Consider the following 25,347-nt stretch of genomic DNA (forward strand, 5'->3'; position numbering starts at 1 on the left):
AACAGCTAGCTCTCTTTGAAGACTGGAATGGGGCTGCCCTTCGCGCCTTACCCAGCCTTCCAGCGTACTTGGGGTGTCTTCCCTGCTTTGGCTGAGACGTCCCGGGATTCAGAGAGATACTGCCTTTGCACTGCCTGGAGGAGACCACTGTGGGACCTCTTTACTCTTACCAATAATATAAACACCCTGCACCCCTCCACACACACCCCAGGTTGCACTGTAGGGACAAGAACGAGTGAGTCCTGAGGCATTTGGAACCCTTGAATGGGACGCACAAAGCCCAAAACGCAACAATGTAGATTGACAAGAGTCGTCGGGCAAACTCGGGGGAGGGAGGGAAGGATGTGCAGGGAAGGATGAATTCGGTCCTTGAGACCGGAAAGGTGCTCGTGGGTATCCGCTTCTGGAGGCTTAGGACGTCTTTATGAAGCCTAGGGCAGTAGTGGAACTGCCATCTTTGGAAGGATACCTGACGTGGTAGATCAGAGAGCCGGGAGAGGTGGGGAGCTGTCGGAGAATCTCGGCTGCGCTATCCCTCCTGGGCTTTTGCGATGCCAACGCAGGCGTCGACGACTGCAGTTTCCCTGAAATAGTCGGAGCAAAGGAGAGAAAAGCCCAGTTCTTTCACCTTGGAGTGGCGAGAGAAAGGCACCTAGAAGCTCGAGGGCGGGGACGGCAGAGGGAGCCAGCGGCCGGGGGTGGGCCAGGAGCACTGCGGGGCGCAAGCCCGGGTCAGTTCTGCGCGTTGGGTTCGCCCACTTTCTGAGCGCCTGCGAAGAGCGGGGAAGCTCTGGCGCGAACCCGCAGGCCCCGCCCGAGGACGCTCGCGGGGCGAGCCCCCAGCCCAGCTCGAGCCGCCCCGGCGCCTGCCACTCCCTACTCAGAGCCCCTCCGTGAGCGCGCCGCTGCCCACCGCCTCCAATCACCACTCTGCGTGGAGCGCTTTAAATATGCAAAGACACGTCACGTTGTGTGAACCGGGATCGGTCCGTAGGGGGGGAGCCAATATCTATATAAACGTGTCCAGCGTGGGCCAAGAAGGGTTAAACGACTGGAGGAGGGACAGGTGGGGCGGGGGTCTGCAGACCAGGTTGGCAACACTGGTGAGTTGCTCTTCTTTCGCCCTCCTTCCCTTCTTCTATCCAAAGGGTGCTGAGCCCGGGAGGAGGTGGGAGGTGCCCCGCGGAGCCGGGAGTGAGCGTTCCCGAGGCAGCAGGCACCTTCGAGAGGGACTGGCATTTGGGCCCAGGAGCCAGGAAAAAGTCCTGAGCGTGCCGGCCTCGAGGAAGGCACGTTCCCTAAGGGCGCACGGTCACTGCAGTCTTTCACCGTCCGTCTGTTTTTAGAACAGAGTTCTGGCCTGAGCTTATAAATCTCGGGCTTTGCCCCCAAACCCCAGGCCTTTTGCGGACGGAACAGGTGAGCACTGCGCACTGCTCGCGCCCCGGTTCTTGCGTCCCCTGCTCTCCCTGCGCTCTGAGCGGCCTGGCCCCCGCGGGCTCATCATGTTCCCTTGGGGGCTGAGCTGCCTGTCAGTGCTGGGGGCGGCGGGCACTGCTCTCCTGTGCGCGGGCCTGCTGCTCAGCCTGGCCCAGCACCTCTGGACCCTCCGCTGGATGCTGAGCCGGGACCGGGCCTCCACCCTGCCTCTGCCCAAGGGCTCCATGGGGTGGCCCTTCTTCGGCGAAACGCTGCACTGGTTAGTTCAGGTGAGCAGTCCTTCGACCCCGAGCGCTAATACGGTCCCTTCTTCCCCCGGCTCCCACTGGACCCTCCTCAGTCTCAATGCCCATGGGATTTGTAGCCAGTCCCTGCCCATCGCCCACGACCCCGGGAAGCGCGCACAACTCTCGCCTTTACCTAGATACTCCGTTCCCTCGAAGGGACCTCAAGTCACTGGAATTCCCCCCAGAGCAACTCCCAGACACAACGCAGGGGGTAAACATAAGGGGTTTTAGGAAGGGGTCTGAGGAGCACGTCCTGCAAGGGTAGAAAAGGAGCCTGGAGCTTGGCCCAGCTGTGAGCCCTTGGGCCCTCACTTCTTCACTCTGAGTCTGTTTCCTCATCTCACCAATAGGAACAGGAGCATGTACATTCCCGTAGAGTAGATACCAGGCCCACTGGGGATCTTGTTTTGTAAACGCGCCAGCCAGGGACAGGAAGTTGTGATCAAAAGGCAGCTGGAAGGTCTGGGTCAGATCCCAGCCCAGGCCCAGAAGTTCCAGCTCTCCACCCTCCGCCTCGCCCGCAGGGCTCGCGCTTCCACAGTTCTCGCCGAGAGCGCTATGGGACAGTGTTCAAGACGCACCTGCTGGGCAGGCCAGTGATCCGCGTGAGCGGCGCGGAGAACGTGCGCACCATCCTGCTGGGCGAGCACCGCCTGGTGCGCAGCCAGTGGCCGCAGAGTGCGCACATCCTGCTGGGCTCGCACACACTGCTAGGTGCGGTCGGCGAGCCGCACCGGCGGCGGCGCAAGGTGAGTGGAAACGGGAATGGACCGTAGATACGTCGGATCCGCGGTCCCCGGCATCTGCCATGGGCCAGGCCGGGGCCCCGGTGTTGGATACACTGTGAACCCGACCAAGGTCCCTGGTAACTAGCGGGTGGCCTTGGGCGGGTCCGTTACCTTCAGCTTCGGTTTATAAAGTTAGGACTGCGCTAAAAGATTCTTTCATCTCCCATCTTCCGTGGCTGTGATAGCAGAAGCGCTGGAGACTCAGACCTAGAAAGGGGCCAGGGAAGACTTCTTAGAGGAGATGGCAGCTGGAGCCTGGATGGTTGGGAGGGACTGTGTGCATCAGAGCAGAACTGGGGGAAATGGCGAAAGCAAAAGCCAGGAAGTTTAGGTCTGGGCCGCTTGGAAGAGGGAGAAAGGACCGGAACTGGCCTTCTGGCTACTCCGGAATCGCCAAGCAGATGAGGCCAGACCGCCGCCAGCGCTGATCACGCGCGCTCCCACAGGTCCTGGCGCGCGTGTTCAGCCGCGCCGCGCTGGAGCGCTACGTGCCGCGCCTGCAGGGGGCGCTGCGGCATGAGGTGCGCTCCTGGTGCGCGGCGGGCGGGCCGGTCTCAGTCTACGACGCCTCCAAAGCGCTCACCTTCCGCATGGCCGCGCGCATCCTGCTGGGGTTGCGGCTGGACGAGGCGCAGTGCGCCACGCTGGCCCGGACCTTCGAGCAGCTCGTGGAGAACCTCTTCTCACTGCCTCTGGACGTTCCCTTCAGTGGCCTACGCAAGGTACGGCCGCCCCGGCTCCAGACCTTCCTCCGAGGCTCCGCGGCGCGGGCGGGCCTCCCAGACCCAGACGGGACGCCCTCGGCGCACCCCGCGCGTCCGTCACCTCTGCTGGGAACGGCGGCAGGGCCCGGGGGTGGGAGGCGTTGTGGCGGTGGCGTGGCGGTGGGCTCTGGGCCTGGCCTCTGTGCTGGTTCGCTGGTGTGACCTGGGGCTGGCCACACGACCTCCGTGGGACGCGCCTGCCGCGACGCGCTCCAGCCTGAGCAAGCGCGGGCCGCCAGAGTTTGGGGTCTCGGTGGCAGGCGTCCTGCCAGTCGGTCGGACTCCTTCCCACAGCGGCGCCCCTGGGGCCGGCCTCCATCACCTCTTCGGAAGCCCAGATGGCTGCGGAACCGAGGAGAGCGTGAGGGCTGCAGATGAGCCCCGGTCCAGCCCAGCGCCAGCCCCGGACCCAGGGGTGTGGGCGTCAGCTCCACCAGCCCTGGACCCGCTAGGTTTCGGGATCAGAGAACTGCTGCTTCTCCAGACTTCAGAACAATGGGCAGGACCCGGAGAGCAGCTAGGATGCCCCATCCCGCCTTTTGGTCCCCCTATTCTGGGACTTCCCACTGTTTGATTCCCTGGTTTTCAGTCACCTGCATAAAAATAATATGTGTAAAGGATCATGCTATAGGCTGATCACCGTGGATACGTTTTCTGATCTAATCCTCGCAGCCTGCAAAGTGTTATGATTCTCATTTTATTGGCCAAACTTATTTTATTGACTTACCCAAGATCACACCGTTAGTAGGGGCACGAACAGGACTTTAACCTCATCTCCTCCGACTATGGAACTCAAGTGCTGAATTACAGTGCTTTCCCCGGGGGAATGCTTTTGCTGCGGCTATTCCCTGAACTCTGGAGAGGCATCCCCTATTGCCCACGCTCTTACAGAGGCTAATGCTTACAAATCCAATAGTGTCCTCTAAGTCAGAGCTTTGCTGGGTGCATCAAGGTACCCCAGCCTGAGCCTAGTACAGGGAAAGGGCAATGGGCTGACCCTAGCCGCACTGGGCTCTGTGCCAGGCATGGACATGGACAGCTGTGTGACTCTGGGCAATTGCTTGACCTCTCTGAACTTCAGCATCCTCTCCTCAGGATGACAGTAACTCTGCTGTGGCTCAGAGGGGGATTGTGATAATCAAGACAGAATGATGTTTGTGGACAGTGGACATATCCCCGACCATTTACTGAGCCCAGCCATATGCCAGGCCAGGAGCTAAGCTGGGAAGCTGTTAACACAAGGATGTTGGCAGAGCCAGTGCTGAGAAGGTTTTCTGGGTAAGTGGCCGGGCTTGGCCCCCTTAGCCTTCCTGCCCCATCTTTCTTCTCTCCCTGAACATCAGGGCATCCGGGCAAGGGACCAGCTGCATCGGCACCTGGAGGGGGCCATTTCTGAGAAGCTTCACGAGGACAAGGCTGCAGAGCCGGGTGATGCCCTCGACCTAATCATTCACAGTGCAAGGGAGCTGGGCCATGAGCCCTCCATGCAGGAGCTGAAGGTAGGTGCTGACAGGCCGCTCCTTCTCCCCTCTTTTGCATTCCCAGCAGGTCCCTACACCAATGCTGCATCCCCAGAGCCACATCTTGTGTGGCCCCACTTTGAGGCACAGGCAGTCCTCAAGATGAGGGGCAAGAGGAGACCTGGGTTCCAGTAATGACTCAGCCACACTCACTACCTCTGCAGCCTTCAGCCTCCAGCCAGCCTTGTCAGTAGGAGAACTGAAGGCAAGAATCCTAGGCCCATCTTTGCAGGTTTCTGGCCACAAATGGCTCTCTCTCCTTTCCTTCCCCCACTGCCCTTCTCTGCCACTCCATGCCTTTGCCTCTGCTGTCCCCCTGCCTACAAAGCCCTCATTATTCATTTTTTCTAGAAACTCTAAGGGGCTCAGGATCAAACTCCACATCCTCAAAGCTCCCTTCTTCCTTCCAAAATCACCTCTCTCCTTCTATGAGCTACCTTGGCACCTGGTACCTCTATCCGTCTGTCTTGTTGCTGTGGATCTCCTGGAGAATTAGGACCCCTCCCCTTGTACACACATCGCACATACAGTGGAGGGGAGGTGGTAAGCTTTGGAATGGCCCCAGGACTTGCTTGAGCACCCAAAAAGGAGTGGAGAAGTTAGGGGGAGGGGAAGTTAGAAATAGGGAGACCTCAATCTTCCATAAGCAACTCTTACGCATCCTTTCTCTGGGCCTCAGTTTCCCACTTTCTACCAGAGACATCCCTGAAGGGTAGGCCTCAGCTTTAGCTTCTTTTCTGAGATTGGAACTAATAAGAGCATGAGCAATGGGCTCTTCTTGCGCAGAGCAGACCAAGAAGACATTTAGTGACTCCCTGGGACCATTCCGATAGGGAGAGGATGAAGCCATGATGCCGGCATTGGTACGAGGCTGGCACTGCTGCTGCAGGTGCCTTTGTTGCACTGCAGCCATTGTCAGGCTGTTCCACTGGGGTTGGCGGCCGCACCACCAGGTGGTGAAGAGCACTGGACTCCTGCCGGGAGTGCTAGCTGTAGGGACCTTGAGCACTACTCTGGAGTCTCCGTTTTCAACTCCATAAAACAAGAGCAGCAATTGTGCCTCACAGAGGGGAGGTGAGAACCGAATGAGTGAATATGCTTAAAGCACCAAGAAGAGTGCTTAGAGTAAGTTCCCGCATTCTCTCTGGGAACCATCGCAAGGCGGGTGGATAGATCCTAATGTTGCCTGTTGCTACAGCTGACTTTCCCAAATGGTGGACTTGAGATTTAATCGACTTCAAAACCGTACACACAGTCGCGGCGGTAATAGCACTTCCCTGCCCCCTGGCTTTTCGCAATAGTAAATTTGGGTGCTTTTCATCTCCACGGGGCCGTCGGGTCAGCGCCCCGGGCGACTCCACCGCCCGAGACTCAGTGCAGCCCGGGGCTGTCTTGCAGGAGTCGGCTGTGGAGCTCCTCTTCGCCGCCTTCTTCACCACGGCCAGTGCCAGCACCTCGCTCGTCCTGCTGCTACTGCAGCATCCGGCGGCCATCGCCAAGATTCGGGAGGAGCTGGTGGCGCAGGGGCTGGGGCGCGCGTGCGGCTGCGCGCCCGGGGCCGCTGGGGGCAGCGAGGGGCCCCCGCCCGACTGCGGCTGCGAGCCCGACCTCAGCCTCGCGGCGCTGGGCCGTCTGCGCTACGTCGACTGCGTGGTCAAGGAGGTGCTGCGCCTCCTGCCGCCAGTGTCCGGGGGCTACCGCACCGCCCTGCGCACCTTCGAGCTCGACGTAAGTGCGCCGTGCCAGCCCATGGCCAGCCTCCTGCCTCCTGCCGCCTGCCGCCTGCCGCCTGCCGCCTGCCGCGGCGGCGCCCAGGTGGGAGGAGGGCGGAGGGATTCGGACGGCGCGGTCACCTCTTTTGCCCTCAGAGCCTCAGCCTTCCGTCCTATAAAATGGGCTGAGCCTTGTTCCACCTCCCCGGATCCCCCGCTGAGGGACGCAAAGCCTGGCGAGACTGCAAGGTTAGGGATCTCGTACCCTTCAGCTTTTGGCAGCGGTTCGGAACGGTCAATTCAATGAGAGCGGAGTTTTAGAATAAAAATACTCTTCTATCCGTGCAGCACCCCCTCCCAGCCAGTGAGTGTGGATGGAGAACAAAGAGAACCCCTCAGTATGTCCTGTGCTCCACCCCTCTGGCTCCCTCACAAGATGAAGGAACCCCTCATTGCGACCGGTCCAGGGTTCTGGCTGGGGCCAGATTCCAGGGGAGGGGGGGATTAAAATACCGGGTAGACGCTTCATCTCTGATCAGGCCGGTTTGGGCTGAGCAAGGTTGAGGTCTAGAACTGACTCCATCTCCGTATGACCTTGGGCAGTTCCCTCTTCACTCTGGGCCTCAGTTTACTCTCTGCAAGGAAGCTGTCTTGGTCCTTTCCAGCTCTGACACTCCATCCAGGTGGGTCCGGGCTGTGGGGGTACAGTGGTGGCCTCAGGCAGTGGTGCTCTGGCTGTGCCAAACTGTGGGTGTTTGCCTGAAAGGCTGTCGTTGCAGTCCCCTGAGCACCATGCTTGGTGGCTGGGTGGCTCCAGATAAAAATGGGCATTCCACAGTGAACATTTGTGGCACATTGCGTGCCAGGGTTCAGGAGGCATCAAAGGGACTGGGATTCTACCCTGGAGGGGCTCCACTTGGAGAGGAAGGGGGCCGGGACTGACAGCCTCATCCCACTTGTAGTGTGACAGCCTCATCCCACTTGTAGTGTGAAGAGAGTGATCTCTAGTGCTGGATGACACCAACACATTCTGAGAGCTGGAGTTTGAACTGGAGCAGTGAAAGGTTTGGACGGGAGAGCCTATTACAGAGAGAGCAGACTCAGACAAAGGTGGATGTTGAGAAGTGTCTTGAATGCGGAATCAGTCTTGGAATGCAAGCTTCATTCTGCAGGCGCTGGAGTGCCCTACAAGACCTTAGGGAAGCACAGAACCAGGGTGGTGAGCAGAGGACAGGAAAGGGTCTTAGCCACCTCCAGTTCACAGATGAGAACACTGATGTCTAGAGAGGAAAGAGAGCTCCTGGGATGATTCCAAGATGTTCTGTTCTCCAGTTAGAAACTTTGAGTATTCACCCTGGAACTTGATATGAGGGTAGCAGTGTAGTCAGGGGGTTGGAAGACGTATCAAAAAGCCAAATGGTTGAAAAAGCTAGGGGTGGGCAGAGGGAACATGAAAACTGCCTTTCAGCATTTTAAGGATGGCCAGTTTGATTCTCATGTGCGCCTTCTTAAAGTGTGGTACCAAATCTGAACATTATCGTCCAGCTGATGGATGGGAAGGATGGCAAGTTTTCAGTTCAATGCAAAGAAGAGCTCTACCATGGAACTGACCTCGAGGAATTGTCATGTGCATTTTTCCCACTCTAGCAGCTGGGAGGTGTAGCACTAGAATTTAGGTCTCCTCATCTAAGGTCAGAAGAAAAAAAGACAAAACCAAACGGGAACATAACTAATAGTTACCGTTTACTGAACACTCATATGTGCCAAGTCCTTAATTTGAATCCTCACCAACAAAGGGGCCATTTTTCCCCTCATTTTTTCAAAGAGGAAACTGAAGCTCAGAGAGGCTGCGCATCTAGCCCAAGGTCATACATTTCACCAGTGAAGGAGTTGAGATTGGAACACAGAGCTTTCTCCTGGTTTCCGGGTTAATCGCGGATTCCTCCTGGTTTTCGGAAGCCTGATGGAAGCACCAGGGTGGAGGGTCAGTTCAGGGCCCCCCCGTTTCCAGGTGCCTCGTGGTCAGGCTGATCTCCTCGCCTCTCTGCAGGGCTACCAGATCCCCAAGGGCTGGAGCGTGATGTATAGCATCCGGGACACGCACGAGACGGCTGCGGTGTACCGCAGCCCTCCCGAAGGCTTCGATCCAGAGCGCTTCGGCGCAGCGCGCGAAGATTCCCGGGGCGCCTCCAGCCGCTTCCATTACATCCCGTTCGGCGGCGGTGCGCGCAGCTGCCTCGGCCAGGAGCTGGCGCAAGCCGTGCTCCAGCTGCTAGCTGTGGAGCTAGTGCGCACCGCGCGCTGGGAACTGGCCACACCCGCCTTCCCCGCCATGCAGACGGTGCCCATCGTGCACCCAGTGGACGGGCTGCGGCTCTTTTTCCACCCCCTCACGCCTTCGGTTGCGGGGAATGGGCTATGCCTCTGACATGCTTGCGCTCTAGGACACGGCTTGGCCGGTGGCTATGGCGCGCACGCAGCGCCACCCATCTGCCGCTCCCCATTGTAGCGTCGCGCGCCCACTCTTTCACTCGTTCAACAATCTTTCAACAAATGTTCGCCAAACGCGGATGTGTGCCGGACTCGAGGAAGGAGGAGGGCGAGCCACCGCTGCCGCGCCAGAGAAGCATCTAAGCCCATGGGAAGATGCCTTCTGCGCTCCGCGCCCAGAGGAAGGAAAATGTCGTGGGCCAAGCAGGAATGGAGGGAATAGATAGATCCCCACGAGGTGCTGCTTGGCTTCCCCTTCCCGAGCCAATCCAGGGAGGGTGCATGGATGGGGGAAGGCGAGGTAGGGGTGGCAGGGGAGTGGGAATATTGCAACTCGGGGACATTGCAGAGACCCGACGCACGCGGTGGGACCTGCAACCCTTGTAAGGAAGCGGGCACGCCGTGGGCGCAACCCTGGCCTGGCTTTGGGCCATAGAAAAAACACGCAGAGGATGCCTGACGGAAGGCCCTCTGGCAGCTGGCGTCTGGCTTCGTGCGCCTTGGCCACTCTGCCGGTCTCGGCGGAAACTAGCAACTGTGGGCACTTCCAGGCTCGAAAGGGCTCAAGGTCACCGGATTCTGCTGGCCACTTCTTAAAAGGAAAAATTCCTACCTTAAGAAGGCATTTACTCTTGTCATGTATACAGAGGAGAATAGGCACACCAACACGTCTCCAACGCTGGATTATTTTCATGGGAGGTTGAGACATAATTAGAGAGGTTTGAGATATTTGTACCAAAAATAGGAAGGCCAAGAAATAAAGTGTCTTGGGAGCGGTTGAGTGAGGAGGCTAGGGTTTATCTGGGCAGCTGCTCCCTGGGGGGAAGGCACTGGGGTGCAGGGTTGGGGAGGCCAGGGAAGGACCCACCCCACAGTACACCCAGAGAGGAGCTGGGAGCTGGGCAGCCTAGGGCCTGGGCTGCCCAGACTTCTCTCTGAGTATAACCCCAGAAGCTGGGCTGTGAATTGTCTCCAGGTTTCAGGGACCTTATTTTTATTTTTATTTTTTTGAGACAGGGTCTTCCTCTGTGGCCCAGGCTGGAGTGTAGTGGCACAACCAGCTCACTGCCACCTCTGCCTCTCGTGCTCAAGCCATCCTCCCATCTCAGCCTCCCAAGTAGCTGGGACTACAGGCACGTGCCACAACGCCTAGCTATTTTTTTTTCTATTTTTAATAGAGACGGGGGGTTTCACCATGTCACCCAGGCTGGTCTCAAACTCTTGGGCTTAAGCGAACCATCTGCCTTGGCTTCCCAAAGTGCTGGGGTTAGAGGTGTGACCCACCACACCCTGGAGTCACTCCTTTCCAGTGACTCCAGTCTAGTCCCTGCGCCCTCACCCCTCCCTGCCATTTCAGGGCCTTCTGGTTTTACGGCTTCACCATCCTCTCTATCACAGAGAAGAAATTGAGGAGCAATCTAGGTGAATGACTCACCTGAGAAGCCCAGCAATAGGCTCCTGGACTCCCCAGCCAGTGCTCTCCTCCACCCCCATCCCTTCACTCTTCTGCCCCAACCTCTGTTCCTGTGGCCATCAGGTAGGGCTGAACACTTTGGCCTCCTTTTCATGATAAGCCCTAGCTAGACTTGAGGACTCTCTCAACCATTCCGGTACAGAGGTTCCAACCAGTGTTTAAATCAAAGCCAAAAGCCTCCATGTCATCATTCCCAACAGCCCACTTCAATCTGCCACCCAGCTTCCAACAGACCGGGGCAGCTGGACATAAGGGGTGAGCCAGGGAAGTAGCTGCCTAGGCCTGAGCTGACCCCTTAGTGAACCAGAAGAAAGCCAGTGCCCTCCTGACCTCATGCTTAAGGTGGATCCCAGGGCCAGAAGGAAGGGGGACACAGCAGGCACTTACAGGGTTGGTAGCTCCACAGTACAGCAAGCCCTTCCAACCTGGGCTGACACTGCCATAACCCCCACACAGGGCAATTCATCACCCATTGTCAGCCAAGGGCCTGGTGCCAGGCCCTGAGCTTGGGAGACACCAGGGGCAGCAAAGGTGGCAGGACGTGGGCCCGCCCTAAGAGTGCTCTTGCAAATGCAGAGGACAGCCTGGCCTGAGAAGCGTGGGTTTGGGCGAGGAGAAGGATGCAGGCTTCAGGGTTGATTGTGATTTAGAGAGAGGAGAGAAGAATGGGGTGGGGACCCTCAGAAGCAAGGCTAGTTGAGCTGGTTCCAAGAAGACCTGGTTGACCTGCATTGGGGTCTGGACTAACTATAAGCCTCTGTAGGGATGGCTCCAGTTTTAATTTTCCATGGATACATCATGCTCAGTAATTTTGAGGGATATCTTAGCTCCTGTTTTAGTAGCTGCAGATTCTCTGGGGAAGGAGCAGAGGAGGTTCCTTCCCTCCTGCACTTGATATGCTCTGGAGGGAGGCAGACAAGAAATAAACTAGCAAACAAAAGGGTAAGAATATGTCCAGTGGTGATAATCGCCGTCATGGAAATAAAACAGGCCTGTGATAGTGTCTGGGGCTAAATTAGGCTGGATGGGTGGGGGGAACCTTGGAGGAGGTGACATTTGACTTTGGAAGGAACCAGCCAGCGGTGGCCTGGGGGAGGGGTGCCACATGCAGAGGGAACAGCAGGTATAGAACTGTGAGACAGGAACGCACGTTCAGAAATGAGACCGGGGGCTGAAAGGAGAAAAGCGGAGGTGGACTCCTTTGCTGTGACTCCAGTCTAGTCCCTGTACCCTCACCCCACCCCACCAGCAAAAAAAACAAAAAAACAAAAAAACAAAAAACCCGACTCCCCATCCCCGCCTCTTAGCAATAGGGAGGCTGTTTTGTAAACATCTTGGAAACGAGTTGTTTTTCAGTGAACCCACCCCCCTCCCCGCCCACCACCACCCACGAAAGCTTGGCGAGATTCCTAGATCAAAGTTCCTATTGGCCTGGTAATTTATTGACCCCCCACCCCCCGCCCTGCCCCCCTACAAGATGTTCTTTAATGATCGTTCACTCTCACATTTAATCCTTTCCTGCCGGACGCCCCCGCCGGCCTCGATGTACAGATAGATTAAAACGTTTTTTTCCCTGCGGCAATTTCCAGCGTGCAGGCCCCGCTCATCTTGTGACCCGGCTTGAGCTGAACTTGGCGAGGTGGCCCCGCAGAGTTCACTCGGATGTCACGGTCCGGCCTGCAGGGGTCACAGGCGGGTCAGGCCCGAGGATTGGGAATGGGCCCCAGGTCACGTCCCCATTCGTCGGCTTTGCACACCGGCCGGAGGCGCTGTCCAGAAAGGGGCGGACCCGGGATTTCTGAGAATTACCTCCAGCGCGATTGGCCTGGCTTCCTGCAGTGGCCAGAGGTTGGTTCGCCGTGTTTACAGCCACCAAATCGTTTGCCGGAGACTGAAACCCTGCCCAGAGCCTCTGAAACACTGGGCAGGTTATGGGGAAACGCTGACCCCCCGAAACACTCCCTGTGGCGGCGACTCTGGCTTGGAGAGTCGCTAGGATTGTGCGGGTCCCTCCGACCTCTGCAGATATTTCCTGATACCTCCGGGTTTGGGGACTACCGCGAGAAGGGCAACGCATTTAAACTCTCAGGAGCAGAGTTTTCCACCTCCAAGGGACGCCTTCCAAGGCGTGCGGCGTGCTTCTGCCAGAGACAGTGTTCAGTTTTAAACAAATGCAGGTCATTCTGTTTCATTTTCGGCGCCGCAGGTGCGTTCAGCGCCCAAACCCAGGTAGCGTGTGACCCTGACTGGTCCCGAGCCGGGAAGCTCCGGCAGGTGGAGAGCAGAGAGAGCAGGTGCGCGTCCCGCAGCGTCTGAGCTCCGGGCATTGGCAGCTCAGTAGCAGCTGATTGTAGATGGGCAAAGTACAGAAGACTTCCCAGTACGGATCCCTTCACCCCTCCCATTAGGGGTCGGTAGAGCCCTGAGTTTAGGGCCGAGCACCCCCTCACCTGGATGAGGACAGTGGCTTTACTCTGGGTGGGACTTGGGAGAGAGGAGGAGGACTCCAGTGCCCGGTGTACCGGACACCCAGGTAACGCAGTCTACCGTGCCTGGAGCTGGGAAGAGTAGTTGCAACCGGAGCCCCCTTTTGGGAACTCACTACCCTGAGGCTTAGACAGGTCGGGAATGATCGCCTCCCGGTTAAGGAGGAGGAAACAGGCACAGTGATGTGTGGTGACTTGCCCAAGGTCACACGCAGTACAGATGGAGCCGGGCCTCGGAGCCAGGACTCCTGGGCTCCCCTTCCTCTTATACCGTCTCTTTATCCTGCCAGGGCTAAGGACCCCCTTCCCTGCTGTCCAGCTGGGGCGCCAAGCAGCAGGGCCCTCCGAATAGGCGAGCTGTGCTTGGATCTCAGAGACGGGCACCGACTGCCGAGCCCCAGACGAAGTGCCCCAGGGTCGGGGATCAGGCTTGTGCAGGGTAGCACCTGGGGACCTGAGGGACCTGGAGGCCTTCTTGTATCCTGAAGTAGGACCTTCTAAGACTTCATGAGTCCTGGCCCCCTTGCAGGGGTTGGGGAGCTGGGGATCCCAGATCTGCCTATTGCGCCCGATGCCCCGAGGCTCTCTCTTGGACTCTGGCCCTGAGTTCTTCTGCGCGATCCTTCGGAGACGTCTGGAGGCCTGCTTTATGCATCTCTCTTGGACCTCAGTTTCCCCACACGTGGGAGGAGGCAGCTGGACGATTCCTGAAAGGACTTTCCCTTGCTTCCTCATCACGTGGAAGAGAGCCCACCCGGCACCTGGAAATGGAAAGCCAGTGAAGGCTGCTTTGGGCCGGGGCAGCGGGTGGGACCGGGCGGGAGGGATTCCAAAGAGACCGCCGGGAAGGCTAGAGCTTGGAATTCCGGCTCCTCGGAGTCCTGGCCCTCCCCCACCGCCGCCTCGGAGCTCAGCACACCTTGGATGGGGGAGGCGGGCAGCTCCTAGCCCCGCACCCCAGGAGGCGCGCTCGGAGGGAAGCCGCCACCGCGCCGCCTCTGCCTCGGCGCGGAACAAACGGTTAAAGATTTTGGGCAGCGCCTCGCGGGGGGAGGAGCCAGGGGCCCAATCCGCAATTAAAGATGAACTTTGGGTGAACTAATTGTCTGACCAAGGTAACGTGGGCAGCAACCTGGGCCGCCTATAAAGCGGCAGCGCCGTGGGGTTTGAAGCGCTGGCGGCGGCGGCAGGTGGCGCGGGAGGTCGCGGCGCGCCATGGGGCTCCCGGCGCTGCTGGCCAGTGCGCTCTGCACCTTCGTGCTGCCGCTGCTGCTCTTCCTGGCTGCGATCAAGCTCTGGGACCTGTACTGCGTGAGCGGCCGCGACCGCAGTTGTGCCCTCCCATTGCCCCCCGGGACTATGGGCTTCCCCTTCTTTGGGGAAACCTTGCAGATGGTACTGCAGGTAAGGGAGGGTGGGGCGGGACAGGCTGCTTCCCCGGAGCCCGGCGCGGCTCTGGGCTTCTGCTGAAGTCGGGGTAGGCGCCCCCGGGAGGCATGCTATTGCGGCTAGGAGCAGGGCTGGCGGGAGCGCGGCGCTCCCCGGCGCCCCCTCATGCCCACTTCTCTCCTCCGCCTTCCTCCCACAGCGGAGGAAGTTCCTGCAGATGAAGCGCAGGAAATACGGCTTCATCTACAAGACGCATCTGTTCGGGCGGCCCACCGTACGGGTGATGGGCGCGGACAATGTGCGGCGCATCTTGCTCGGAGAGCACCGGCTGGTGTCGGTCCACTGGCCAGCGTCGGTGCGCACCATTCTGGGATCTGGCTGCCTCTCTAACCTGCACGACTCCTCGCACAAGCAGCGCAAGAAGGTGGGGGCAGGAGGCGACGGCTGGACAGGGAGGGGGACCCCATTTATGAGCGGAATTCCGGCTGATGGATGCTAGGCGCGGGCTAGCAGCTTGAGGTGGGCTAGGACCCTCTGCCAGCTCCAGGTTAGCTTTCCCAGCTCGGAGAGTGCCATGTGTCTGGCAGGACTGGGGGTGTCTGGAAGGGGACGGCGGTAGACGAGAGGGGCGGATGGAGGCTTTTAACGCTGTCCCCTCCTCGGGACTCAGGTGATTATGCGGGCCTTCAGCCGCGAGGCACTCGAATGCTACGTGCCGGTGATCACCGAGGAAGTGGGCAGCAGCCTGGAGCAGTGGCTGAGCTGCGGCGAGCGCGGCCTCCTGGTCTACCCCGAGGTGAAGCGCCTCATGTTCCGAATCGCCATGCGCATCCTACTGGGCTGCGAACCCCAACTGGCGGGCGACGGGGACTCCGAGCAGCAGCTTGTGGAGGCCTTCGAGGAAATGACCCGCAATCTCTTCTCGCTGCCCATCGACGTGCCCTTCAGCGGGCTGTACCGGGTAAGGGCGGCAAACGGGCTGCGGACTAGGGGCGCGGGACCTGGGCGTCTGCTCACCGCCGCGCGCTCTCTGCGCTCAGGGCATGAAGGCGCGGAACCTCATTCACGCGCGCATCGAGCAGAACATTCGCGCCAAGATCTGCGGGCTGCGGGCATCCGAGGCGGGCCAGGGCTGCAAAGACGCGCTGCAGCTGTTGATCGAGCACTCGTGGGAGAGGGGAGAGCGGCTGGACATGCAGGTGAGTAGCAGCTTCAGACCAGGCACTGCGGAGTTTGGTCCCCTGGCTTTCCAAGCGCTGTTCCTGGGGCCCCCAAAGCGCGCGCCTGGGGCCCAGCTTTCTGGAGTGGGCGGCCGGCTCAGACTACAGCTATGGAATCCCGAAGGAAGGCTGAGACACCCGGTCAGGAGAGCTGCGGAAGGGGCTGCGGCGGAACTGGGAGCATCCCCTAGCCTTTCCAGGTTTCAAAGGGAAAGTTGGAATTTGCAAAAATGTTAATAAAGAACCTTGCGATTTTAATAAAACTAAGACTTTAACTCAGGAGTTTCCGGTAGAGCGGGGTCGTACTCGCCTTACTGCTCCAGCTGAACTAAAGGGACGTTGCATTTTGTTTAAAGATATTGCTTTCCTTGACTTTCTGTCAGCAAAACATTTAGCCCTTCTAGTCTTCCCTCCAGAACTCTCAGTTCGATTCTGAGTAATCCTTCTGTCAAACCGCAGGCAGACTTGTGAGAATGTGGGTCTCACTCTATTCTTAGGCACTAAAGCAATCTTCAACCGAACTCCTCTTTGGAGGACACGAAACCACGGCCAGTGCAGCCACATCTCTGATCACTTACCTGGGGCTCTACCCACATGTTCTCCAGAAAGTGCGAGAAGAGCTGAAGAGTAAGGTAGGGAGACTGGGTCTGGGGGTGTCCTTATTAGCTTAGGAAATTCAGCTGCTCCCTAGCCAACTTCCGAATAAGTCAGTGTGCTGCCTTCATGGAGTATTTTGAAAGTGCAGGGCCCAGGGCTGCGTGGGCCAGTGGGCAGAATTAGCTTTGTGAATAAACAGGATGGAGTCTTGAGCTGTGAGCCCACTTGGGCAGGGTTTGACCTTGTATTCCTACCCCTCCTCCACCTTTTGCTGAACCGTGGAGATTCTCAGATAGGTTCCACTTTCTTGAATTGGTGTGTCCAAGGGCATACATAGTGTGAATAGCTGATTAGTGTGGGTGGTGGTGGTGAGTGTGGGGTGGGGGGGCGTGGGGAGAAACTTGGTCCTTCTAACTGGTGAGCAGCATTCTCCTGGGATTGTAAATAGATAGTGGATTTGGGCAGGCAAATGGCCATTAGCTGCTGTTTCCCCCTCCCAGTCTCTCCCATCATGGGGCCCTTTGGGTTTAGTCTCCACTTAAGCCCTGTTTACGTCTGCTGGGCTGATTTTATTGGAGCACAAAATAACTGTTCACCTCTGTATGACTGTTTTGATAGGGTTTACTTTGCAAGAGCAATCAAGACAACAAGTTGGACATGGAAATTTTGGAACAACTTAAATACATCGGGTGTGTTATTAAGGAGACCCTTCGACTGAATCCCCCAGTTCCAGGAGGGTTTCGGGTTGCTCTGAAGACTTTTGAATTAAATGTAAGTTAAAATTCTCTTCTTTCTCCCTTTTGTTGTGGTTTAAAAACTCCTCTTTCTTCCCTATGCTGTGGCTGCAATTCTTATGCTTTTGATAATTGTTCTGCCCTATATGGAGATATGTTTCAGCAACCTGGATCCACCTCTCTCTTTCTACCTCTCCCTTGCTTTTAGCTCATAATTTCCCCCAAAGATATCAGTGACTGCTTTTTGTTGTTGAAAGTTAAATTCCAGTTTGTCAGCCCTTGGGGTTTCATAATCTTTTGCAGGGATACCAGATTCCCAAGGGCTGGAATGTTATCTACAGTATCTGTGATACTCATGATGTGGCAGAGATCTTCACCAACAAGGAAGAATTTAATCCTGACCGATTCATGCTGCCTCACCCAGAGGATGCATCCAGGTTCAGCTTCATTCCATTTGGAGGAGGCCTTAGGAGCTGTGTAGGCAAAGAATTTGCAAAAATTCTTCTCAAAATATTTACAGTGGAGCTGGCCAGGCATTGTGACTGGCAGCTTCTAAATGGACCTCCTACAATGAAAACCAGTCCCACCGTGTATCCTGTGGACAATCTCCCTGCAAGATTCACCCATTTCCATGGGGAAATCTGATGAGCTTGAATGTTCAAACCTGAGACTTATTGGAAGTGTACATATGAGTTTTTAAGGAGTGTTGTGTTGACTTTATATTTAATTTCTAAATGTATATTATAATATTTATGTGTTTTGACTATACTACCACAATCTTTAAATATTAAAATAATGAATTTGTATCATTTCCAAATAAAGTAAAATTTGAAGGTACTTTTCTGGTATTTTAAGATTCCTGTTGGGTAAAACTCACCAGTTTAGTATTTTCTTAGTGTATTTAACCAGATTTTACAATGCCTACCTGGACTTATTTGTCATCTTTGCATCTGTTTTCTGTGAGAAGAAATCTTAGCTGTTTTTTATGTTAACAGTTATTAGAAAATATATGTCTGTGTGTGTTATTCCAGACGTATCTCTGTAAATTCTTCTACAGTCACTTAGATTCCCTATTTGGAAAATTGATCCAAGTTAATTTAATTTTTTTTTGGTTTGCTGTACTTTAGGGAAAGATGAACCTGAAAAGGTAACACTGAGAACTGTCACTCTAACCTCTCCAGCTTATCTAACATGTCATAAACATAATAAATCTGTGTTGTCCAATAGTGCCAGAACTGTTCTCTGAAGTTACGGTTTTAGATAAGACAAAGCCAGTCACTCCAGTTATGGACAGCTCTTGACTAAAATGAGACCAGAAATCATTGGCGTGTCACCTTTACTTAGAAGTTGCATATGGAAACAGTATTAGGAAAGGCGCATCTCTGGTTAAGATAAGCTGAGCCCAGGTTTTCTTTATTCAAAATGAGGCAGGAGGAGCAGATTTAGCAGACTGACAGATAAAGTTTTTATCTATCCCAGGCAATAGGGTGTGAGCCTGACATGACTGATAAAATGGCCCAGTCATGACCCTGTGAACCTTGGCTAACCTCCGTGAAAGCGCAGTTTTGTCACATTTCTGACCCTGGCATAGCCACAGTCTGAACTGAAGGCCAGACTCTCAATCCAGAAAGGTTAGCCCCAGTGACTTGCTTATGCAAGCACATTTTTGGTTTTGGAATGGCACAATCTGCTCACTGAACCTCTGATGACTTGTAGGTTTCAAACTTTACATTTTTCATTACAATTTTAGAATTTGGCAATACTGCAGAAACCAGGTGGTCTAAATAGGTGTTTGAAAAGTGTTCTGTCTACAGTTACATATTCTACCTGACTATAGTTTTTTAGGTAGAACTTGGGTTGTTCTTATTGTTGGACTGCTCTGAATTTTAAAGGATGTTTATGTAATAACTCATAATGCCGTTAAAAAATGAGACATTTCAGGCTATGTAGTTTCAGCCAAAGCTTTAGTGTACTATAGTGTGCAGAGATGACTCTTCTACCCCTAACATTTTTCCTGGACATTTCCAGCTAGGAGCATGCTAGACTGAGGGCATAATTATTTCAGATAATTTCTACAAAGGCATTTTTAAATTTTATTTTATTTATTTTTTGAGACAGAGTCTCACTGTGTCACCCAGGCTGGAGTGTAGTGGCACAATCTTGGCTCACTGCAACCTCCGCCTCCTGGGTTCAAGCGATTCACCTGCCTCAGCCTCCCGAGTAGCTGGGATTATATATGCACACCACCATGCCCGGCTAATTTTTATATTTTTGGTAGAGATAGGGGTTCCACCATGTTGGCCAGGGTGGTCTTGAACCCCTGACCTCAGGTGATCCACCCACCTTGGCCTCCCAGAGTGCTGGGATTACAGGCGTGAGCCACTGCACCCGGCACAAAGCCATTTTAAAACAGCTTTTTTTTTTTTTTTGAAACAGCCTTGCCCTGTAGCCCAGGCTGGAGTGTAGTGGTACAATCTCAGCTCACTGCAACCTCCACCTTCCGGGTTCAAGTGATTCTTGTGCCTCAGCCACTTGAGTAGCTGACACTACAGGCGCATGGCACCATGCCTGGCTAATTTTTGTATTTTGGGTAGAGATGGGGTTCTACCACATTGGCCAGGCTGGTCTCGAACTCCTGACCTCAAGTGATTCATCCGCCTTGGCCTCCCAAAGTGCTGGGATTACAGGCATGAGCCACTGTGCCCCATCTAAAAGAGTTTTAATACTTTTCATTCTTCTGGAGGACAGCTGGCCTTTAAAACACTATCTTCGCTGACTTAGTGGCTCTGTTTCTCTGCGAATGTAGTGCAGTCGGAAATCTGAGCCATCTTAACATATCATTCATTTTTTAATCTGGGGAGCTTCGAGGAAAGTGCTTCTGGTTTGCATTTCCCAGGGCTAGATTTAGCCCAATTATCCTGATCAGTTACAGAGTAGCAAAGAATTCATCTTGAAAATACGTTAAAAACACAATCTTTGATCATGTGCTTTGTGCAGAGGAAAGGCAGTCTGGAAGCATGTGAGCAAGGCTGCTGTCTTGGACAATGGGCCTGGGTCACATCTCTCTGGGTCAAGTATGTTTTATGGCACAGTCACCTCTGGGCTGGTGTCCACGTGATGGAGAAATGATGTAGATTTGGCCAAAACTGTGGAAGGAGGGGACATGACCCCTCTTGGACTCACTCTGGAAAATGACCCTTCGGGCTCCTAGCAGCATGGTGTAGCGATAGGGGTGCTGTGCTGTCCAGGGCTGCTGCGGGTGGGCGACCAAGCTGGTGCCCTCTGCTTCCCCTTGCGCAATGCCCTTGGCCCTTGCTGCCTCCCATGTTCTCTTCAATCAGGACTGTGTTGCCACCAACCACAGACCACTGTCAGGACTGAGATGTGAAAGCCTGAGGCTTCAGCATTCAGAGGGATTGGAGCCTTTACCTAGCAAGGTCCTTGGAGGCCCAGAGACAGACTGTAGTTTTCCTGGGGCCACACAGGGAGTGGCAGAACCAGGAAAGACCTCCAGATGCCATTTTTTTTCTTTCTTTTTTTAAACAGCTAATAACACTTGCCCGATTTCTAACTCGCTGTTGCCAGACATAATCCAGGGGTCTCAACTTCCTAGCTTCCTTTTATGTCCCCTGCTACCACTCCCGTGCCAGCACAGATCAATTCTCTTGCAGGTCCCCAGAGGTGGTTGGTGAAATGGGAGCGCTGAGAGGAGGTGGCTGCTCCCCGAGACTCCCTGTCTCCGGTTGGGGTTTCAGTGCTTTTTGCACCCTGTTACTCTCCAGAGATCCACAAGGGGGCGGGCTTCTCCCTTCTATGCCAGGCTCAGAGGCCAGTGGTTTTCCCCACCAGTGTCCACGAATTCCAGTGTACAAGACTCTGGCCCAGGGCTTGCTTTTACCCCGGACAGTGAGAAGCTACAGGCCACCCAGGGCTTAGCAAGTACTTAGCACCAGGTCTGGTCAAGGCTGCCTGGCCCCTCTGGAAGGGGTCATCCCAGGCTGGGCTGACCTGCGCGTCTTTCAGTTCCTGAAGCAGCCGCCAACCCTTGGTGGTCTATGGGGTCAGCGGCCCAGGTTTCCAGCATTGCCCCCACACTGCCCACGTGTGGCTTATGTTGCTTTCACTCTACCTGGAAAATCGCTGTCAGTTTTGAGGGAGCAGGGAGCACAGTTTCCAAAGAACGCGGGCAAACTAATCAGCCTTCGGATGACCGCAACCAGGTGCGGGAGCCACCGCACAAAAGCACCTAGGGAGGAACGAGGGACGTATAGGGAGGTTGCGGTGGCTCCTTTAGACAGTCAAAGGGCTGCTGTAGTAAACACAGGTTCAGACCCGTTCTGAGGGACAGAGCATGCTCTTAGGAGGGTAAAGTAGGAGAGAGATGCTGGCGCCATGTAAGGAAAACATTCTGAGACAACTCCAGCCCTTTGGTGATGAAACAGGCTACCTTGTGAGAGGGAGAGAGTGAGCTCTCTGTCAACAGAGGCAGCCAAATACAAAGCTGGATACCTAAGCCGCCACAGAGATCAAGACATGGAGGGTGAGCTTGGGTTAGATGACCCCCCATCCCCCTTCCAAAATTAAACAGTTGTGAATCTCCGAAATGTGATTCTGTATTAATTCAGTTCCTCAGATACCCACTTTGAAATGCCTGGGGCTGTGGAGATGGGACATCCCCACGTCCTATTCCAGAGGCATTCAGCAGTCTTTGGTGATCATTCTCCCAAACCTCAGAGGCAGATGTGGAAGTGGGAGCCCAGATATGTGACCTCAGAAAGGCACCAAGTGCCCTGTGTTGACTGCCCAGGGACCTCTCCCCTGCCCTGTGACTTGGTGTTTCCTGCTCCAGGTCCTGTGTCTGCTCCAACCACCCCTAGTTCCCCCAACCTGCCCATGCTGACCATTCGCTTGACCTGGCCTCTGGGGTCACATCCTGCTTCCTTCCCCAGTCCTCCCCGGGTCCCCATAATCCCATGCACTGACATTGTCCTCTACCCATCCCAGCTGTCCTTTGTCTCCACCTCCTGAAATGTGCTGGGAGGCAGGAACTGTGTCTCATTGTTCTAATCTTATACATTTAGTCCATTTTCACATACCTCTCCAGCCTCCCCTGGAATGTACATGTAGTAGGTGTTCTCTGGAAGAAATACTTCTTGGGGCCAATTGACACCATTTACCTTATGTTTCTCCAGCTTACATGGTGCCATGTTTTTCTTTGAAAAGTGAAACTTTCATCCTTGAAAAATCTCAGCGGCCGCAAGCATACACGGCTGTGGTTTAACAGCATGTCACATTCCTGAAACCGACGCTCCACGGGTATTTGACCAAACAAGCTTTCCTTCCTTTGAAGTAGAGTCAACTCGAGTTAGAACCCTGAGACAGGGATGAAGATTCAGCCTGGGACTGCATGGTGGGTTTTCTGGGTGAGACATATCATGTTGCAATATTCATAACCACGCACCCTCAGCACAGAAGCTGCCCCACACTGTAAGATTTCTCACTGCTGCTGAGCCCTCCCTGGTACGTTGAGGAGTTAGAAACCTGTTCACGCCTTTAGGATGGTAGATGCTTCAGGATTTTTGTTTGTTTGTTTTGTTTTGTTTTTTTTGAGATGGAGTCTCACTCTGTCGCCAGGCTGGAGTGCAGTGGCACGATCTCAGCTCACAGCAACCTCCACCTCCCAGGTTCAAGCGATTCTCCTGCCTCAACCTCCCCAGTAGCTGGGACTACAGGGACGCTCCACCACGCCCAGCTAATTTTTGTATTTTTAGTAGAGATGGGATTTCGCCATGTTAAGAAGGATGGTCTCAATCTCTTGACATCGTGATCCACCCGCCTCGGCCTCCCAGAGTGCTGGGATTACAGGCGTGAGCCACAGCGCCGGGCCCTGCTTCAAGATTTTTATCTGAAGTCACTAATGGGTTCACTTAAATGCATTGTGAAAAGAGGACCAGGTGCTTTGCTTATAATAGACATGTGACAAAACAAATTTGTTAAGTACAGCCAAATCAATTCATTGACTGGTTCGTTAAGTACAGCCATATTGTCCAACACAACAATCACTTAATGATAGATGGGGGCATTCAGTATTCCAAAATTGAAAGTTCATTTAATGTCAGGTAGTCACAGACTTTTAGGGCCGTAAAGGAGGACAGGTCATCTGGCCCCTCAGTTTACACCTGAGAAACCCGAGGTTGAAAGAAATTTTAGGTTACAACAGAGAATGTGCCCAGCACACTGTAGGACTTGACCCTGCTCTCAGTTAAAAAAAAAAAAAAATCAACTGTATTGTTTACTTATATACGTGTCAGGGAAAAAAATGCAGGTTAGCAGACTATTTGAGACCAAATAGTTCTTATTTGTCATGATACTGCTGAGAGTGTGTGGACTCTGGGAGGTGTTTTGAGAACTTGGAATTTTGTGGCCTCAGAGAATTTGACACAAAACCTGGCGGAAGGTACAGATTGCTGGCATTTATGGTGGATGTGGGGGCTGAGGTCTTCACGTTGGTAGAGCTGGACTTTCAGATCGTTTGAGCCCCTTCTACTAAACAGCAGAAAATGGGTTTTAAAGGCAAAAGCACTTACTTATGAGAAACAGGGGTTCTTAGACTTTATGAGGCATCAGAATCATCCAGAGGGCTGGCTTAAACAAAGATGATTGCCCACTCCAGAGTTTCTGGGTTGACCCAAGAATTTGCATTTCTACCAAGTTCCCAGGTAATGCTGATGCTGTTGGTCCGGGGACCATACTTTGAGTACCATTGGTGTAAAGGCTTCTCATCCGTGAGTCAAGGATCACAGACTTAGGAGGGCTGGCAGATAATATTAACAAGTAATGTTAGCCAGGTGGAGAGACAGTAGGATATGGTGGGCGTGCTGCTGATGTGGGGACCACAGGTTCCCTCTAAAGTGGGCAGTTGCTGCTCAGTGCTGACCTACTCTTGACCTACAGGAATGAAGAACTCGGTTTGAAACTCTTTCGGTGTTTCAGGAAGTGCTAGAAATCCAGGTTTACATAAGGAATGTGTAATGGGAATATCCTGTTTTTTAGATGTTGGTGGCTAATTACCTTTTTAAAAACTGTGCAGGCAAAATAAAACTTGTTTGTGGCCCTGCTGGTGTCCAGTTTGCAACTTCTTGGGTCTTCGATCTTTGGAGAATTTTTAGAGTGCTTGATCAAAAGTGGCTTAGCTGAGTGGGTCTGTTTCAGAGTCTCTCATAAAGTTGCAGCTAAGATGTGGGCCAGGTTGCAGTCATCTGAAGTCTTGACTGAGGCTGGAGGGTCTGTTTCCAAGATGGCTCCTTCATATAGCTGTTAGCGGGAGGCCTCAGTACCTTGCTTTGTGATTCTCTCCATAGGGCTGCTGGGGTATCCTCATGGCATGGCACTTGGCTTTCCCCAGAGCAAGTGATCAAACAAACAAACAAACAAAACAGCAAGATCAAGCCCTCAATGCCTTTTATGACTTAGCCTTGGAAGTCACACTTCTTCATGTCTACAATATTATATTGATTACACAGGTTAGCTGTATCCAGTGTAGGAGAGAAGCACACAGGGCATGAATGCCAGGGGGCGAGAATCACTGGGAGTTATCTTGAAGGCTGGCTGTCATAGTGAGTTTTGTTTTGTTTTGTTTTTGTTTTGAGACAGGTTCTTGCTCTGTCGCGTAGGCTGGAGTACAGTGGCGAGATCAAGGCTTACTGCAGCCTCGATCTCCTGGTCCCAACCAGTCCTCTCACCTTGGCCTCCTGAGCAGCTCAGGGCCACAGGTATGTGCCACCATGCCTGGCTAATTAAAAAAAAAAAAAAAAGGTAGAGACAGAATGTCCCTATGTTGCCCAGGCTGGTCTTAAACTCCTGGGCTCAAGCAATGCTGCTGTCTTTGCCTTGCAAAGTGTTGGGATTATAAAAGTGAGCCACTGTGCCTGGCCCATAGTGAGGTTTTTTGGTTTTGTTTTGTTTTGTTTTTGAGATGGAGTCTCCCTCTGTCGCGCAGGCTGGAGTGCAGTGGTGTGATATCGGCTTACTGCAACCTCCGCCTCCCAGGTTCGAGCAATTCTCCCTGCCTCAGCCTCCTAAGTAGCAGGGATTATAGGCATGGGCCACCATGCCTGGCTAATTTTTGTATTTTTTAGTAGAGATGGGGTTTTGCCATGTTGGCCAGTCTGGTCTTGAACTCCTGACCTCAGGTGATCCACCCACCTTGGCCTCCCAAAGTGCTGGGATTAAAGGCCTGAGCCACAGTGCCTGGCCCATAATGAGTTTTTCACTGGTTGTATAGACTCTTCCCCTGACTTCTCTTTAAGTCATTTTCATCTTGTTTCTGAGTAGTCCTTGATTTCTACTATTTTCATTGTGACTTCTCATCCATAGACACTTACAGTTATCGTCAGAAAAAAACATGTTACAGAATTTCTCAGCTGGATGTACTCTATGGGGTCAT

General features: G+C 54.2%; 2 protein-coding genes across 3 annotated transcripts, besides 3 other annotated features; both read left to right on the forward strand.

Annotated features, from left to right (window-relative positions):
* CYP26C1 (cytochrome P450 family 26 subfamily C member 1) lies at positions 1,040-9,782 on the forward strand. Its single transcript, NM_183374.3, has 6 exons — positions 1,040-1,709; positions 2,252-2,476; positions 2,962-3,237; positions 4,623-4,778; positions 6,198-6,527; positions 8,562-9,782. The coding sequence occupies exons 1-6, from the start codon at positions 1,506-1,508 to the stop codon at positions 8,937-8,939; spliced, it is 1,569 nt and encodes a 522-aa protein (NP_899230.2). The 5' UTR covers positions 1,040-1,505; the 3' UTR covers positions 8,940-9,782.
* Positions 1,058-1,967: an enhancer, noted in NCBI's record as "H3K27ac-H3K4me1 hESC enhancer chr10:94820573-94821482 (GRCh37/hg19 assembly coordinates)". NCBI's record gives its function as "activates a minimal SCP1, AML or CMV promoter by ChIP-STARR-seq in primed H9 embryonic stem cells {active_cell/tissue: H9 hESC(primed)}" and the evidence as "EXISTENCE:reporter gene assay evidence [ECO:0000049][PMID:30033119]".
* Positions 2,921-3,040: an enhancer, noted in NCBI's record as "active region_3781". NCBI's record gives its function as "activates an Ori minimal core promoter by ATAC-STARR-seq in GM12878 lymphoblastoid cells {active_cell/tissue: GM12878}" and the evidence as "EXISTENCE:reporter gene assay evidence [ECO:0000049][PMID:35858748]".
* Positions 3,051-3,220: an enhancer, noted in NCBI's record as "active region_3782". NCBI's record gives its function as "activates an Ori minimal core promoter by ATAC-STARR-seq in GM12878 lymphoblastoid cells {active_cell/tissue: GM12878}" and the evidence as "EXISTENCE:reporter gene assay evidence [ECO:0000049][PMID:35858748]".
* CYP26A1 (cytochrome P450 family 26 subfamily A member 1) lies at positions 13,717-18,127 on the forward strand. Of its 2 annotated transcripts, none has more exons than NM_057157.2 (7): positions 13,717-14,076; positions 14,550-14,774; positions 15,021-15,311; positions 15,391-15,549; positions 16,068-16,202; positions 16,786-16,938; positions 17,205-18,126. In NM_057157.2, exons 2-7 carry the CDS (start codon positions 14,568-14,570, stop codon positions 17,544-17,546), a joined length of 1,287 nt encoding a protein of 428 aa, NP_476498.1. In that variant the 5' UTR covers positions 13,717-14,076; positions 14,550-14,567; the 3' UTR covers positions 17,547-18,126. The 2 variants fall into 2 exon arrangements, with proteins under 2 accessions (NP_476498.1, NP_000774.2); NM_000783.4 differs by lacking the exon at positions 13,717-14,076 and adding an exon at positions 14,135-14,365 and having other exon boundaries at positions 17,205-18,127.

This window comes from Homo sapiens, chromosome 10 (genome assembly GCF_000001405.40).
Source record: "Homo sapiens chromosome 10, GRCh38.p14 Primary Assembly".
Lineage (NCBI taxonomy): Eukaryota > Metazoa > Chordata > Mammalia > Primates > Hominidae > Homo > Homo sapiens.

Bases quoted from the DNA above. Each gene is read 5' to 3' on its own strand.
- CYP26C1 (NM_183374.3), top strand. From the start codon at position 1,506: ATGTTCCCTTGGGGGCTGAGCTGCCTGTCAGTGCTGGGGGCGGCGGGC. The intron at 1,710-2,251 runs GTGAGCAGTCCT...CCTCGCCCGCAG, and splicing joins CGCTGCACTGGTTAGTTCAG to GGCTCGCGCTTCCACAGTTC. The intron at 3,238-4,622 runs GTACGGCCGCCC...CCTGAACATCAG, and splicing joins CCTTCAGTGGCCTACGCAAG to GGCATCCGGGCAAGGGACCA.
- CYP26A1 (NM_000783.4), top strand. From the start codon at position 14,177: ATGGGGCTCCCGGCGCTGCTGGCCAGTGCGCTCTGCACCTTCGTGCTG. The intron at 15,312-15,390 runs GTAAGGGCGGCA...CTCTGCGCTCAG, and splicing joins CCTTCAGCGGGCTGTACCGG to GGCATGAAGGCGCGGAACCT. The intron at 16,203-16,785 runs GTAGGGAGACTG...CTGTTTTGATAG, and splicing joins GAGAAGAGCTGAAGAGTAAG to GGTTTACTTTGCAAGAGCAA.